At 37.0% G+C, this 17,652-nt stretch overlaps 1 protein-coding gene across 20 annotated transcripts in view, besides 1 other annotated feature; it reads left to right on the forward strand.

Moving 5' to 3' along the window:
- The window catches only part of GPHN (gephyrin), a 1,227,209-nt gene that overhangs the window by 415,098 nt on the left and 794,459 nt on the right, over positions 1-17,652 (forward strand). For 10 of the 20 annotated variants that reach the window (XM_047430879.1, XM_011536340.4, XM_017020913.3 and 7 more), the window contains one exon: positions 950-1,048. The exons of the other annotated variants lie outside the window; for them this stretch is intronic. In XM_047430879.1, coding sequence (XP_047286835.1) covers positions 950-1,048 — 99 coding nt within the window. The remainder of the gene's footprint in view (positions 1-949; positions 1,049-17,652) is intronic. 20 annotated transcript variants of the gene reach the window in all.
- Positions 9,767-10,966: an enhancer, noted in NCBI's record as "MED14-independent group 3 enhancer chr14:67399728-67400927 (GRCh37/hg19 assembly coordinates)". NCBI's record gives its function as "activates an origin of replication core promoter dependent on BRD2, BRD4, P300/CBP and CDK7 cofactors, and independent of MED14, by STARR-seq in HCT116 cells {active_cell/tissue: HCT116}" and the evidence as "EXISTENCE:reporter gene assay evidence [ECO:0000049][PMID:35650434]".

Raw genomic sequence — 17,652 nt, forward strand, 5'->3', positions numbered from 1 at the left:
TAAATATATAATGTTTATATATTCAAAGTATCAAAATGTCACAAATTCTTAAAGGAACAGCAAACTGAAGGTAAAAGACCTTAGATGATTCAAGAAATGAGTTGGGAAAGATTAATAAAGATTTTTAAAGGGACAAAGCTTTTCAGCGATTGTTGAATTTTTCTTAACTAATAACTTATTCAAACATTGCTTGACACAAATTACCCTAGTGGTAAAGATAGGAAATGGATATATTTGCATTTCTACTTTAAGAAATATTATTAGGACAATATCAAAGTATTACAAATTCTCTTTGGGCAACTCCATGGGTAAATATACTACCATGAGTTACTTGAGTAAATTTAACTGTCTTAAAGTTATAGAACATGGTTTATTCTTCATACCTACTAAAGTCAACCTAGTATGCCTTAATATCTACAGAAAGTAGCATATCAATTCTGGAAATTATGATTTTTCATTAAGAGCATAAAGATTGAAAATTTAATTGCTATATGACATAATTATCAGATTTTATGGATTATCCAGTTATTTTGGCTACGAGCATTGTGAGGTTTTTTTTTTAATAATATATAGATTAGAATCATCGAGAAATCCTTTTGAAGTGTCCATTCAGTGATCCAGTGAGTGCTTACTAAAGGCTAGTAAGTATTTAAGTTTTGTGTGATTTTTTTTTTATGAAACCAATTGGTGAAACAGGCATTTTTAAATCATTATATGTTCCTTTTCCTTTACTCTGAATTAAAAGAGTAAGAAGTGCCATAAATTTCAATCTTAGGAGAGAAGCTTATGGCATTTAAAATCTAAGCTGATTCTGTCATTCTACATTTGGAAAATGTTAGCATTTCATTTTTCCATTTGTTTTTACCTTTTTTCCTTTTTAGTCATTTTGCTTGTATAGTTTCATGTTTTCCTGTCACTATATTCATAGTTGTTATGTGTTGTGCATTAGAAGCATCCATTCTACACCAGTCCTGCTGTTGTCATGGCACACGGTGAACAGCCCATCCCTGGTCTCATCAATTATTCCCATCATTCAACAGATGAACGGGTAAGACAAGAGGCTTTTGCATTAATGGTTTTCCAAATATGTATTCTACTTCCTCTCCTTGGAGATAGGCTGTAACATATGGAAGATGTGTTGTTTTATTCTGATGGATTTTCAGCCTTGCTTTCTTGTGAAAGTGTGAGTGCCATTGAGTATATCCATCAAGGAATTTAATAGAGTTTCTCCTGTGACTAAAGTACTCTGCTATCATTAAGATTCTGTCATTTGTGACAATGAACTTTTATCAAATGACTTGCAAGAAAGTCATTGCTCAGAAGTTATTTTTGTCTTACCAATTTCATCAGATATCTTTAAATAAATTGCCTGGCTTAAAATTACCTCTTAAGAGAATCACTTTGAGTCTTAAAATCTAGACAGATTGGTCAAGCAAATAGTTGATTTGTATTAACCTTCCTGTTTTGTCTTATGATTTTGCATCTCATTTTTTTTTCATTCATTGAGCTCTCATTACAACCATTGCAGAGTTGAATTTTGATATAAATTCTGTGATTCCTCATCATAAGTAAACTTTTTAGGTGCATATTTGTTTATTCAGTCAGTGGCTGAATGATAGCTTGCAAAAAAATGCCAGGTTGTAAAAGATTAAACTGATACATAAAAATCATTAAACAGTGATAATTTAGACATTGGATGAAAAAAAAACGATCTAAGTCCCTAATATGGATGTAAAATGAGAGGGGCAGAGAAGAAAAAGAAATAATAAAGTGAAATTTGGTTTTAAATACTTAGGAAGCAAAACACCCAAAATTAGGAGAGAAAAAAACCAACAACTTAGCATCCATAGTCTCTTAGAAGATACTACCAAGTGAAGACTTTTTAAAAATTTTAATTTTGTGGGGTACATAGTAGTGGATATATTTATGGGGCATGTGAGATATTTTGATACAGGCATACAATGGGTAATAATCACATCAGGGTAAATGGGTATCCATCACTTCAAGCATTCATCATTTCTTTGTGTTACAGACATTCCAATTGTATTCCCTAATTTATTCTAAAATGTACAACAAATTATTGCTGATTGTAATCACCCTGTTGTGCTATCTAGATCTTATCCATTGTATCTAACTATATTTTGGGGTACCCATTAACCATCCCTATTTCCCACTCCCCCTACCCACCCTCTCCACCCTCTGGTAACCATCATTCTACCATCTTTATCTCCGTGAGTTCAATTGTTTTAATTTTTAGCTCCCACAAATAAGTGAGAACATGCAAAGTTTGTCTTTTTGTGCCTGGCTTATTTCATTTAACAGTGTCTTCCAGTTCCATCCATGTTGTTGCAAATGACAGGATCTCATTCTTTTTTATAGCTGATCAGTACTCCATTGTATATATGTACCCCATTTTCTTTATTCATCTGCTGATGGACACTCAGGTTGATAATGCTGCAATACACATGGAAGTGCAGATATCTCTTCAATATACTGATTTCCTTTCTTTTGGATATACACCTAGTAGAGGCATTGCTGGATCATACGTAGTTCTGTCTTTAGTTTTTTGAAGAACCTCCATACTATTCTGCATAGTGGCTATGCCAATTTACATTCCCACCAATAGCGAACAAGTGTTCCCCTTTCTCCACATCCTCACCAGCATTCATTATTGCCTGTCTTTTGGATAAAAGCCGTATTAACTGGGAAGAGATGATATCTCATTATAGTTTTGATTTGCATTTATCTGATGATCAATAATGATGAGCACCTTTTCACATACTTGTTTACCATTTGTATGTCTTCCCTTGAGACACATCTATTCAGATCTTTTACCCATTTTTAAATTAGATTGTTTTATGTTTTTTCCTATAGAGTTGTTTATATAGTCTGGTTATTAATCCCTTCTCAGATGCATAGTTTGCAAATATTTTCTCCCATACCTTGGATTCTCTTCATTTTCTTGATTGTTTCCTTTGTTAGGCGAAGCTTTTTAACTTGATATGATCCCATTTGTTTACTTTTTCATTGGTTGCCTGTGTTTGTGGAGTATTACTCAAGAAATCTTTGCCCAGTCCAATGTCCTGGAGAGTTTTCCCAATGTTTCCTTTTAGTGGTTTCATAGTTTCAAGTCTTAGATTTAAGTATGTAAGTCTTTAATCCATTTTGATTTGATTTTTTATATATGGCAAGAGATAGGTGTCTAGTTTTAATAATCTGCATATGGATATCCAGTTTTCCCAGCACCATTTATTGAAGAGACTGTCCTTTCCCCAATGTATGTTCTTGACCCCTTTGTCAAAATGAGCTTACTGTACTTATATGGATTTGTTTCTAGGTTCTCTATTCTATTCCATTGGTCTATGTATCTGTTTTTATGCCAGTACCATGATGTATTAGCTACTATAGCTCTGTAGTATAATTTGAAGTCAGGTAGTGTGATTCTTCCAGTTTTGTTTTTATTTTTGCTTAGGATAGCTTTGGTTATTCTAGGTCTTTTGTGGTTCCATATAAATGTTATGATTATTTTTTCTGTTTCTGTGAAGGTATTTTGATAGGGATTGCATTGAGTCCATAGATTGCTTTGGGAAGTATGGACATTTTAACGATATTGATTCTTCCAATCCATGAATACGGAATGTCTTTCCTTTTTGTGTGTGTCCACTTCAATTTCTTGCAAAAATGTTTTATACTTCATCATAGAAATCTTTTACTTCTTTGGTTAAATTTATTCCTATGTGTTTTCTTTGTAGCTATTGTAAATGGGATTACTTTCTTAATTTCTTTTTCATATTGTTCACTGTTGGCATATAGAAATGCTGCTAATTGGCCAGGCGTGGTGGCTTACACATGTAAGCACTTTGGGAGGCTGAGGTGGTTGGATCACCTAAGGTCAAGAGTTCGAGACCAGCCTAACCGACAAGGTGAAACCCCGTCTCTACTAAAAATACAAAAATTAGCCTGGTGTGGTGGCAGGCCCCTGTAGTCCCAGCTACTCAGGAGGCTGAGACAGGAGAATTGCTTGAACCTGGGAGGTGGAGGTTGCAGTGAGCTAAGATCGTGCCACTGCACTTCAGCCTGCGTGATGGAGCAAGACTCCATCTCAAAAAAAAAAAAAAAAGATATGCTACTAATTTTTGTTTGTTGATTTTGTATCCTGCCACTTTACTGAATTTGCTTATTAGTTCTAATGGTTTTTTGTTGGAGTCTTAGGTTTTTCCAAATATTGTATCATCAGCAAACCAGGATAATTTGATCTCTTCCTTTCCAATTTGGGTGCTGTTTATATCTTTCTGTTGTCTGACTGCTCTAGCTAGCACTTCCAATGCTATGTTGAATAACAGTGGTAAAAGTGAGCATCTTTGTCATGTTCCAGATCTTAGAGGAAATGCTTTCAGTTTTTCCCCATTCAGTATGATACTAGATGTGGGTCTGTTGCATATAGCTTTTATTATGTTGAGGAACGTTCCTTCTATACCCAGTTTTTTTAGGGTTTTTATCATGAAGCAATTGAATTTCGTCAAATGCTTTTTCAGCATCAAGTGAAGTGATCATACGGTTTTTGTCATTCATTCTGTAGATATGATGTATCACATTGATTGATTTGCCTATGTTGAACCATCCTTCCATCCCTGGGATGAATCGCACTTGGTCATGATGAATGATGTTTTTAATGTGTTTCTGAATTTGGTGTACTAGCATTTTGTTGAGGATTTTTACATCAATGTTAATCAGATATTGGCCTGTAGTTTTCTTTTTATGATGTGTCTTTGTCTGGTTTTAGTATCAGGGTAATACTGACCTTGTAGAATGAGTATAGAAGTATTCCTTCCTTCTCTATTTTTCAGAATAGTTTGAGTAGGATTGGTATCGGTTCTTCTTTAAATATTTTGTAGACTTCAGCAGTGAAGGTATTGGTTCTTTTCTTTGCTGGGAGACTTTTTATTATGGCTTCAATCTCATTACTTATTGCTGTATTCAGGTTTTGGATTTCTTCATGGTTCAATCTTGGTAGGTTGTATGCATCTAGGAATTTATCCACTACTTCTAGGTTTTCCAACTTATTGGCATATAGTTGCTCATAGTAGTCTGTAATGATACTTTGAATTTTTGTGGTATAATCATGATGTCTCCTTTTTCATCTCTGATTTTATTTATTTGGGTATTCTCTCTTTTCTTCTTTGGCTAAAGATTTGGCAATTTTGTTTATCTTTCTTAGAAAAACAACTTTTCATTTTGTTGATCTTTTGTACTGTTTTTTGTTTGTCTTAATTTCATTTATTGCTGCTCTGATCTTTATTTCTGTTCTTCTACTAATTTGGGCTTGATTTTCTCTAGCTTTTCTAGTTCTTTATCATGTGTCATTAGGTTGTTTATTTGTAGTTTTTCTACTTTTTTGATGTAGGTGCTTATTGGTATAAACTTTCCTCTTAGTACTGTTTTGCCTATCCCATAGGTTTTGGTGTTTTGTGTTTCCATATTCATTTGCTTCAAGACATTATTAATTTGCTTCTTAATGTCTTCAGTGACCCACTGGTCTTTCAGGAGCATATTGTTTAATTTCCGTATGTTTGTATCATTTCCAAAGTTTTTTTTATTGATTTCTAGTTTTATGCTGTTGTGGGTTAGATAAGATACATATGATTTCAGTTTTTTTAAAGACTTGTTTTGTGGCCTAACATATCGTCTGTCCTTGAGAATGATTCGTGTGCTGAGGAGAAGAATGTGTATTCTGCAGCCATTGGATGAAATATTCCATAAGTATCTATTAGATCTATTTGATCTGTAATAGAGATTAAGTCCAATGTTTCTTTTTTTTTTTTTTTTTTTAAGATAGAGTCTTGCTTTGTTGCCCAAGCTAGAGTACAGTGGGGCATTCTCAGCTCACTGCAACCTCTACCTCCAAGGTTCAAGCGATTCTCCTGCTTCAGCTTCCCGAGTAGCTGGGATTACAGGCACGCGCCACCGTGCCCAGCTAATTTTTGTGTTTAGTAGAGAGGGGGTTTCACCATGTTGGCCAGGCTGATCTCGAACTCCTGGACCTCAAGCGATCCGCCTCCCAAAGTGCTGGAATTACAGGCCTGAGCTACCACGCCCAGCCTCAATGTTTCTTTATTAATTTTCTGTCTGGAGAATCTGTCCAATGTTTAAAGTGGGGTGTTGAAGTCTCCAGCTATTGGCATATTAGGGTCTGTCTCTCTCTTTAGTTCTAATAATATAATAATATTTGTTTTATATGTCTGGATGCTCTGGTGTTGGTTGCATATATGTTTACAATTGTCATATCCTCTTGCTGAATTGATTCCTTTATCATTATAAAATGACCTTCCTTGTCTCTTTTTATAGTGTTTGTCTTAAAATCTATTTTTTCTGATCTAAGTATAGCTACTGCTACTCTTTTTGGGTTTCCACTTGCATGGTATATCTTTTTCCATCCCTTTATTCTCAGTCTGTGTGTGCTTTTTTTTTTTCTTTTTTTCTTTTTTGAGATGGAGTGTCACTCTTTCGCCCAGGCCGGACTGCAGTGGCGCTATCTTGGCTCACTGCAGTCTCTGCCTCCCGGGTTCACGCCATTCTCCTGCCTCAGCCTCCTGAGTAGCTGGGATTACAGGCGCCCGCCACCACGCCCGGCTAATTTTTTGTATTTTTAGTAGAGACGGGGTTTCACCGTGTTAGCCAAGATGGTCTCGATCTCCTGACCACATGATCCGCCCGCCTCGGCCTCCCAAAGTCCTGGGATTACAGGCGTGAGCCACCGCGCCCGGCCGTCTGTGTGTGTTTTTATAAGTGAAGTGTGTTTCTTGTGACCAACAGATTGTTAGGTCTTGTTTTCTAATCCATTCAGCCATTCTGTGTCTTTTGATTGGAGAGTTAAGTTCATTTACATTCAGTGTTATTATTGATAAGTAAGGACTTACTATTGCCATTTTATTATTTGTTTTGTTTTGTTTTTTTCTAGTTCTTTGTGGTCTTCTCTTTCTTCCTTCCTTCCTGTCTTTCTTTTTGTGAAAGTGTTTTTCTCTGGTTATATGTTTTAATTTCTTACTTTATATTTTTTGTGGAACTATTGTTAGTTTTTTGGTTTGAGGTTACCATGAGCCTTGCAAATACTATCTTATAACCCATTATTTTAAACCAATGACAACTTAACTTTGATTGCTAGGAGTTAAGAGCAAAGAGACAACTGATAAAAACTCTACACTTTAAATTCATCCCCCCAGTTTTAAACATTTTATTTTTTCTATCTATATTTTATAATAGTATGTCTCAAAAAGTTGTAGGTTTTTTTTTTTTTTTTTTGAGACAGGGTCTCACTGTGTTGCCCAGGCTGGAGTGTAATGGTATAATCACGGCTCAGTGTAGCCTTGGCCTCTTGGGCTAAATCAGTCCTCACATCTCAGTCTCCCAAGTAGCTGGGACTACAGGCACGCAACACCATGACCAACTAATTTTTGTATTTTTTGTAAAGACAGGGTTTCACTATTTTGCCCAGGCTTGTCTCAAACTCCTGGGCTCAAGCGATCCACCCACCTTGCCCTGTCTAGGTGCTAGATCACAGGCATGAGCTACCATGCCTATAGTTATTATTTTTTAGATCATCTCTTAGTTGTCCTACTCAAGATATGAGATGAGTAATTTATACATCACACTTAACAGTGTATAATATTCTGTGTTTGTCTGTGTATTTATTGTTACCAGAGAGTTTGGGGCCTTCAGATGATTTCTTATTTCTCTTTAATATTCTTTTATTTCAGAGTGAAGAACTTCCTTTAGCATTTCTTGTAAAATAGGTCTGGTGTTGATGAAACCCCTCAGCTTTTGTTTATCTGGGAAGGTCTTTATTTCTCCTTCATGTTTGAAGGACATTTTCACAGGATATAATTTTGTAGGATAAAAGTTTTTTTCCTTCAGCAGTTTAAAATTTGCCATTCTCTCCCAGCCTGTAAGGTTTCCACTGAGAAATCTGCTGCCAGACATATTGGACCTCCTTTATATGTTATCTGTTATTTTTCTCTTGATGCTTTTAGGATCCTTTCTTTATCCTTGATCTTTGGGAGCTTGATTATTAAGTGTCTTGAGGTGGTCTTCTTTGGGGTAAATCTGCTTAGTGTTCTGTAGCCTTCGTGTACTTGAATATTGATATCTTTCTCTATGTTTTGAAAGATCTTTGTTAATATCTCTTTGAATAACCTTTCTACCCTGATCTCAGTCTCTCTCTCTCTCTCTACCTTTTCTTTAAGGCCAATACCTCTTACTGCCCTTTGAGGCTATTTTCTAGATCCTATAGGTGTGCTTCATTATTTTTTATTCTTTTTTCTTTTGACTATTCTGACTGTATTTTCAAATAGCCTGTCTTCAAGCTTACTAATTTTTTTCTGCTTAATCAGTTATGCTGTTGAAAGACTCTGGTATATTCTTCAGTTTGTCAATTCAGTTTTCAGCTCCAGAATTTCTGCTTGATTGATTTTAATTATTTCAGTCTCTTAGTTAAATTTATCTGATATGATTCTGAGTTCATTCTCTGTGTTATCTTTCATTTTGTTGAGCTTCCTCAAAACAACTATTTCTAATTCTCTGTCTAAAAGGTCACATATCTCTGTTACTACAGACTTGGTCACTGGTGCCTTATTTAGTTCATTTAGCAAAGCCATGCTTTTGTGGATGGTCTTCATGCTTGTGGCTGTTCATCAGTATCTGAATATTTATTCTAATCTTTGAAGTCTAGGCTTGTTTGTACCCATCCTTCTTGGGAAGGCTTTCCAAATACTCAAAGGGAATTAAATGTTGTGATCTAAGTCTGGTCACTGAGGCCATATGTGCATTAGGGGGCACCCCAACTCTAGTAATGCTGTGAGTCTTGCAGAGGTACTCTGACTCTTATAGAGGTACTGCCGTGGTGGTCTTAAATAAGATCCAGGAGAATTCCCTAGATTACCAGGCAGAGTCTTGTTCTTTTCCCTTACTTTTCCCCAAACAAACTTAATCTCCCTCTTCATGCTGAACTGCCTGGAGTTGGGGAAGGGTTAATGGAAGCACTCTTGTGGCCACCACCACTGGTACTGTGTTGGGTCACTCCTAAAACCAGCCCAGTACTGGGTCTTGCCCAAGGCCTGTGGCAACTATTTTCTGGCTGCTGCTTGTGTTTACTGAAAGACCAAGGGATCTTTAGTCAGCAGGTGGGGAATCCTGCCAAGACCAGGTTTTTTTTTTTTTTTTTTTTTTTTTTTTTTTTTTTTCAGTGCAGCAGGTCCCCTTCTGGCCCAAGGTGGGTTTAGAAATGCCGTCCAAGAGCTAGGGCCTGGGATGGGAGGCTTTAGGAATCTTCTTGGTGTTTATTTTACCAGGTTGCAAGACAAAGTCCTCTTTACTTTTCCTTCTCCTTTCCTCAAGCAGAAGTCTCTCCCTATGGCCATTATCACTCTAGGCTCAGGGCAGCTACCGCTTGGCTGCCACTGATGTTTATTCAAGGCCCAAGGGCTTTTTAGTCACCACTGGTGAGTCCTGCGAGGCCTGTATCTCTCCCTTCAGGACAGTGAATGCCTTTCTGGCCCAAGGCAAGTCTAGACATGCCCTCCAGGAGCTAAGGTTAAGATTAGTACATCAAAAATTATTTGAGTGACCCATTTTTCAGTTCTCCCAAGGATTGTACACAACTAATACCATTCTAGATGCATAGGAGATAAGTTAATTATTAGGGTTTAATTCTTTGGAGGAACTAGTTGAGAATGATTGTAAAACTGTTCTAACTGGATGTTCTCATATAGCATCAGTGAAGACTTTCTCATTGATTAACTATTTATTAGCTGGTATTTAACAGTCCTTTGTAAATAGTAATTGGTCTTTTGACAGATGTTCAGTTTTATAAGTAGACTCACATGTTTATGTTTCCTGTGACAAATGACAGTTAACAACATATCAAAGAGTATAATGTTGTTCTTCAGACTGGGCATCTATCTATACAGTAGAATGAAAAGGAAGAAATAGGTAACAGAAAATAATGAAAAGAAGGCCTTGATGCTTCTGAAGAAGTTATGTTAACTTTGAATGCTTCTCTAGCACTAACTTTATTAATGAGTCCCACTGGTTCTGAATGACCTGGTGTGTTGTCAGTGTGTCAGAAGACCTCTATGTGAGAACAGTCATTTGGAATATCTATATATACTATTTGGCTTACTTTTACAAGTTTTACCTATGTAAAATTAATATTGAAAGGGAGCACCTGATTACCTATTAGAAAGAAAAATTACAATTTCCCTCAGCTGGTCACAATCTGAGGCATGTGAAGCAATGTGGAATAATGTTAAAATCTTGTATTTAGAGACGGAAAACCTGGATATAAGCCCTTACCTCACCACTTAATAATTCGGACAAGTTACTTAAAATTTAAGCTTCAGTTCTCATCTATAAAATGGAAATAATAATTATCCTGTATCTCACAACAGATTATTATTTTTAGTACAGGAGATGACATATATGAGGAAATTTTTATAAACTTTGTAAATTAAGAATTAAGTATTTGCAGAATTCTTTCAAGGTACCAAACACTATCCTCACTGCTCAGAATACAAATATAAACAGGTTGTTCCAGCCCATAAAAAGTTCACAGTCTAGGGCCTGGGTGCAGTTTCTCATGCCTGTAATACCAGCACTTTGGGAGGCTGAGGTGGGCAGATGTCTTAAACCCAGGAGTTTGAGACCAACCCGGGCAACATGGCAAAACCCCATCTCTACTGAAAAATAAAAAATTAGCCAGACGTTGTGGCACATGCCTGTAGTCCCAGCTACTTGGGAGGCTGAGGTGGAAGAATCACTTGAGCCCAGGAGGTTGAGGTTGCAGTGAGCTGTGATCATACTACTGCACTTCAACCCAGGTGACAGAGCAAGACTCTGTCTCAAAAAAAAAAAAAAAAAAAGAGTTCACAGCCTAGCTGAAGAGTTGCTTTTTTAAATTACTTCTTTACCTTCCTAACTCAGTTATCTACTTCTAGTAATCAAAAAGTGAAACTTGGTCAATGTACTGACTGTTCAGTAGTTACTAATGAGCTCATTGCTACTTATTGCAAAATTAATCAGCTTGCTATTTCAGGAGATAGAGACTTAAGAAATTCCTCTTGTAATTGACATTTGTTCGTTGTCTGTCCAGCAGTCATTTTCCATTCCCTCTTCCTAGCACTGTACCACATTTCCCAGTCATGTAGTTTGGGTGGAATTGATTAAACCTCCAGTGTAGGTTGTCTTAATACTGTATAATCAACATACCCATTTCACCTAGCCACAGTCATTAGTTAAAGGATCATGTAATTCAAAGCAGTCAGAGCCAGTGGATTTCATCTCTTATATTTTAATTTAACTACTGGGGGACACAGATTCTCTGTTTCCTGCTGAACATGAATGAGGAAATATACAACCCCAAGAATTACGTCTTGGGACCGTGAATGGAATGCCTGCTATGATGGAACTAGCATAAGAAACAATCCTGAGAAACAGAAGTTTAAAAGAGATACTGGGTCCCAGTAACATTTTGTGAACCACTCATTCAAGCCCTTCTTGAACTATACAGACTGCTTGACTTTTTGGTTACATGAGCCAATAAGCTAATAGAGATAACTGTTGTCCATAACTAAAAAGTATCTTAACTATTATAATATACCTGAATAAGTACTGTATCATCAAAGAAATAAGACATTTTCCTAATAATGACTAAAATGTATCAAATAGGAATCCCTGAAGTTTCATATTTCAGTAAAAAAACCTGATTCAAGAGGATAGAGGGTTGGAAAATGTGACTTAAAGGAGGAAGAGGATGAAAATAAATCCTGCTCCTCTGTATTTATAAAATAAATGAAGATATTTTCAGAGAGACTGGATCCAAATCTGAAGGTGACAACTTATGCTTTGCAGCCTCAAGGCAACTGATAGGTTCAAAACTCAAAGTAATAATATTAACAACAGGCAAAGAAAGAATTTAAGACAAAGAGGGAAGCTATCCTTGGAGATTTGTAATAGGAAATCTCATTTCACTGACAGAAATTAAATCTTCTGGAGAAATCCAAAACAATAATGATGCTCCCTAAGCTGTATTGTATGAAAGAACATCTACTGATTGCCCTGGGAAGAAAAAGAGTTGGTGACTTCTTCTTGGTAAATGATACGGAAAAAACAATATTTTTATCCATATCATTTGTATATATATTATATATATATGTGTGTGTGTGAATATATATATGTGTATATGTATATATATGTATATGTGTGTGTTTTTATATATATATAAAACAAACATGCTGTATGTTATGTTTATCAAACATGTACATATACATGTATACACCACCGCATGGTGGCTGGCACCTATAATCCCAGCTACTTGGGAGGCTGAGGCAGGAGAATCACTTAACATATATGTGTATACGTGTGTTTATGTATACGTATACATGTGTTTATATGTATACATGTATACGTATACATGTGTTTATGTGCACGTATACATGTGTTTATGTATACATATATATTAAAACTATATATATACAGTTTTATTGTTTCCTTTTATCCATGAGGATTTTGAGATATTAAAATAATTATATTAATTGAATACCAATCATTCTCTAAGCATTTTATATATATCAGCTCTTTACGTAAATCCTCATTTTGCTTGTAAGAAATCTGAAGCTCATGGTAGTTAAGAACATGGAACTACTTAGTGGCTGAACTGGTATTCAAGTCTAGGCAGTCTGATTCTAAGATGGGAATTCTTGACTACTCTGCTATAGCACCTTTCATAAAAGAAAAAGTAAAAGAAGACATTTTGGGAGGTGACAAACTAATTATAAACTCTCCTCAAAAATGAGAATTGGGGTCCAGGTGCGGTGGCTCACGCCTGTAATCCCAGCACTTTGGAAGGCTGAGGTGGGCGGATCACCTGAGGTCAGGAGTTTGAGTCCAGCCTAGCCAACATAGTGAAATCTCGTCTCTACTAAAAGTACAAAAATTAGCCAGGCGTGGTGGCGGGCACCTGTAATCCCAGCTACTCGGGAGGCTGAGGCAGGAGAATCACTTAAACCCCGGAGGCAGAGGTTACAGTGAGCAGAGATTGTGCCATTGCACTCTATCCTGGGTGACGAGAAACTCCATCTCAAAAAAAAAAAGAAAGAGAAAGAAATGGGATTTTTTACCATGGTTTGAAATACTTAAGTGATAAGATGCACTGCCCAATCTAAGAATTGTAAACAATCGAATGTCGAATGTGTTTACTCTGGAAGTTTACTGATCCAAGCAAAAAAGCTTTAAGCTATAAACATCTGTGGAGTAAGAAGAATATATAGATAAATCAATATAATGAAATACTTTGGAGAATACAGTATGATACATGTTAAAAGATAGTTTTATAAAGGTTGAGTTATAACACTTAGAAGTATAAAATAAATATGTGCCAAAGATTTTATTTAACTTATTAAATAATGAGAGAACTAGTAAGCTGTTACACCAATTCAAACAAGAATGGAAAGGACACAGACATATGTCAACAGTCATGAAGACTGGAATGAATTTATAAATAGAAAATTTGTGCAAGATATACAGGCCAATGAGTAGTTGCTCCTGATCAGGACTAAACTTATTTGCATTTCTATGGACAGGAATCATTACTTACATTATTATTAGTTTTCTTCAACTTGCAAAGTTGTAAAATCGTGTAAAACAATGAAAAGTACAGATAACTCAGAAGGATATACAAGTCAGGGCATTCTAGTAATCTTAGTAATCGTGAAGATAATTTTTTTTTCCAGACAGGAGCTTGCTGTCACCCATGTCGGAGTGCAGTGGCACAATCACAGCTTACTGCAGCCTCTACCTTCTAGGCTCAAACAATTATCCTGCTTCAGCTGCCCAAGTAGCTGGGGACTACAGGCACACAGCACCATGCCCAGCTAATTTTTGTATTTTTTGTAAAGACAGGGTTTCATCATGTTGCCCAGGCTAGTCTCAAACTCCTGGATTCAAGCAATCCACCCTCCTCAACCTCCCAAAGTGTTAGCATTACAGGCATGAGCCACAGAGCCTGGCCTCTAAGATAGTTTTTATTTACCACAAAAAAATGTGTTTGATCTCATTAGGTTTGGGCTGATTCGTTACATAACTGGAGCAATTTTTTTTTTTTTTTGAGACTGAGTCTCCTTCTGTCGCCAGGCTGGAGCGCAGTGGCACAATCTCAGCTCACTGCAACCTCCACTTCCCGGGTTCAAGTGATTCCTCTGCCTCAGCCTCCCAAGTAGTGGGATTACAGGCATGTGCCACCACACCCAGCTAATTTTTGTATTTTTAGTACAGACAGGGTTTCACCATGTTGGCCAGGATGGTTTCCATCTCTTGACCTTGTGATCCGGCTGCTTCGGCCTCCCAAAGTGCTGGATTACAGGCATGAGCCACCGCACCTGGCCGCAAGATTATTAATTAACCAGATATCCTCCTTAAGTTTGTTTTACAAATAAGAAGACCACAAAATTAATTTTTGTCTGGAAATTTTCTTAGGGAATCTCAGATTCTATTAGGTTGTTAAAAAAGTAATTGCGGTTTTTGCCATTACTTAATACTTTTAAAGGTCTCTATTTTTGCCAACCCAAGATTAGTAAACTATGCCCAAGAAACTTCACCATCATCATCATTTTGGTAAGTTCCTCTCTTCTCCAGGTCACCAAAATTTTATTCCCACATGTAAGTGATCTTCCTTACCACATAAAAGGCTGAAACCTTCTGCTCCAGGTACTAGGTTGGTTTCTCTGGGAGGGCATTGTCACCATTGGCTTCAGGAGTACAGCCAATATTTTTTTCTTCAAAGTGGTAGTGATATTTGATTAGATGACCATCATTCTCAAATATATCTCCAGGTAAGGCCTTGGTTGCACAATCAGTTTGTACAATTATATCCTGTTTAAAAGGAAGACATTCTTATTAGGATTGCAAATAACTATACTGTCAAGAAAAGTTAGGAAATTACTAAGAGTTTCTGAATTTGGAGGAAGTCAGAATCAAATATTATTTTGAAATGTTTCATATTAGTTTAAGAAATCAGGGTCTACTAAATTGTGTGGGTTACATATAGCTTAAAAAGAAGAAAAAGAGCTTCCTCATGTATCCAGAAAATAGAACATTTAAAACAACCAGTGTCAATACTACTCCAAACAAATAGGAAAAGAAATTTCCTTCTGTATTCCTTTTTCATTCTGTGTTGATTCAGTCCTGTGATAATTAATTATTATTCAAATAAGCCTTGGCTTAGCAGTCTGCTTTCATGAAACTTTCTGCTTCTGGCCTGAGAGAGTTTTAGAAATTCTAACTCAGTCCACTGTTTAGGTCCAAAAGTTGTCCAAGCAGAAGTCTACTCATGAGTCTATTCTTTCAAGTATTAGTACTTTGAAGTATTTGGTACAATTCTTTCCATGAAGCTTTTGAAACTATCTCTGTTGAACACACAAACTCTGGCCTATAGCTTAATAAGCATAATCTTCAGGTAAACATCAAAATTTGTTCATAGATGACAGACTATTGTTAATTGTAACCAATAATATCAAAATGCAAGAGGTTAAAATTCTTTCCACTGGGGGATAACTATTTCAAAAGAGTTTTGATCAGTATCCCCTTAAACTAAAAACTCTTGCAAATATGGTCAAATGATTTTTGACCAGGGAACCAAGACCATTCAGTGGGGAAGACAGTCTTTTCAAAAAATGGTCCTGGGAAAACTGGATATTCACATGCAAAAGAATTAATTTGAACTTTTATCTAACACCATATACAAAAATTAATTCAAAATGGATCAGAGACCTAAAGCTAAGACCCACAATACAACTCTTGGAGTCAAAACTTTATGACATTGGATTTGGCAGTGATTTTCTTGGACATGACACCAAAGGCACTGGCAACAACAGCAAAAAGTACACAAATTAGACTGCATGGGAATTTTAAATCTTTGCACATCCAAAGATTCTATGAACAGAGAAAAAGGCAGTCCACAGAATGGGAGAAAATATTTGCAAATTATATACCTGATAAGAGATTAATATCCAGAATATACAGAGAACTCCTAAAACTCAACAGAAAAACAACCTGATTCAAAAATGAGCAAAGATTGTTGTAGAAAAAAAACAGGTTCTTGTCACAAGACCAGAATAATTTAGGCATGTGGACACATTGTAGGGTGAGTAGGGCAGGATTTATTGGATGAAAAGGAAAAAAAAAGGGAAATTGGAACTCCTGGCAAAGCAAGAGAGAATCCTGCTAGCAGGTTTCCTGCCTCACAGATTTAATTGCAGGCCACCCCACACGCAAGCTGAAGACCCCAGGCTCCTCCCCTCTGCAAATGGTGTGGGATTCCAAACTTCCCGTAACTCCACCCCATCCTCCCCGTGCCAGTCAGAGATTCTCCAGGGATCCTCTGCCTTATCTGCCTCCTGCATCTATCATTCCCCCTCTGAAGACATACATTTAACTGCCGTTAAAATAAGGATAAGGATGAATACCAATCTTAACTGCTTCCTGCTGGTAAGGGGCACTGTTTTGGTAAACAGCAGTCACATCTCCTTCAGAGGCCTATCTAAGGGTCCCCAACAAAAGGGACCATCGGCCAAGCCTCCAGTTGCATGACCGTTTGGAGGTTGATGGCCTGAAGGTGACAAGAGAGAAACCAGGTTATTAGAAAACTTGTATCAAAATGAAACAAGGGGCAGGTGAGGACAGCTCAAAAATCTCGTGTCCTTTGACCAGTCTGTACAGGGAGAAGGGGGACCAAAAGCTTGACCGGTAAGAAAAACTTTTACCCTTTTGCTAGCATTTCAGACTTCTGGGTTCCTGTCCCCTGAGCTCAATCCTAAGCCAATCAGTTTAAGGTTTGGGAAATTAACTCTTCTCAGTTTGGAAGATGTATCCAAAGGGAGTGTCCCATAGTATGGAGACACAGTTACCTATCTGTGAAGAGAGGACAGGGAAGGAAAAAGGAAAAAAAAAAAAGAAGGCGTTTTGTTGTTGTTTTTTTTCAGAGGAGTCCCAGTGGTTCAGGATGCAATTGAAAGGGATACAGACTGAAGATTAATGACTACTCATGTAGAAAGAGGGGAGCAGGTGTCCCTGGTTCCTTTTTCTTCCTAGCATATACCCGAGGTATGTGAGGGAGGGAAAGTGAGGTGTTCCTCTTTCTTTCCTCCATCCTTGTATCCCAGTGACTGCAACAGGGTGCCACCCATAGGTTTTAAAGTGGCTTTCACCCATGTTAACAGGGGGAGCTAAGGGGTGGGAGGTATCAGCTTTTAACCACATATGCCCTATCTCCACTGCTGTCAGTAGCCTTGAATTCCCCAGACCCCATTTATGCGATGGATACTAGCATAACCTTTATTCATGAAACAAGAAGCTTGGCTTAACTGGCAGGAATCAGTCATGCTCACCTGCATTGTGCCTTTTAACTTCCATTACCGTCTGCCTCTGGATTCCTCAGATCTAGTGTTCTTTCCTAGGGCGTTGACCCATAGCTTGGAGTTGAGTTTGAGACAAAAATGTGTCTTGGGGTGGGGAGGAGTTGCATGGACTCCTTATCATAAGCTGAATGCTAAGGTGAAGCTGTGGAATTGAGTCCTCCTCCAACAAGGGAGAGAAAAGGATGTCTCA

This window comes from Homo sapiens, chromosome 14, assembly GCF_000001405.40.
Source record: "Homo sapiens chromosome 14, GRCh38.p14 Primary Assembly".
In the NCBI taxonomy this organism is placed as follows: Eukaryota; Metazoa; Chordata; class Mammalia; order Primates; family Hominidae; genus Homo; species Homo sapiens.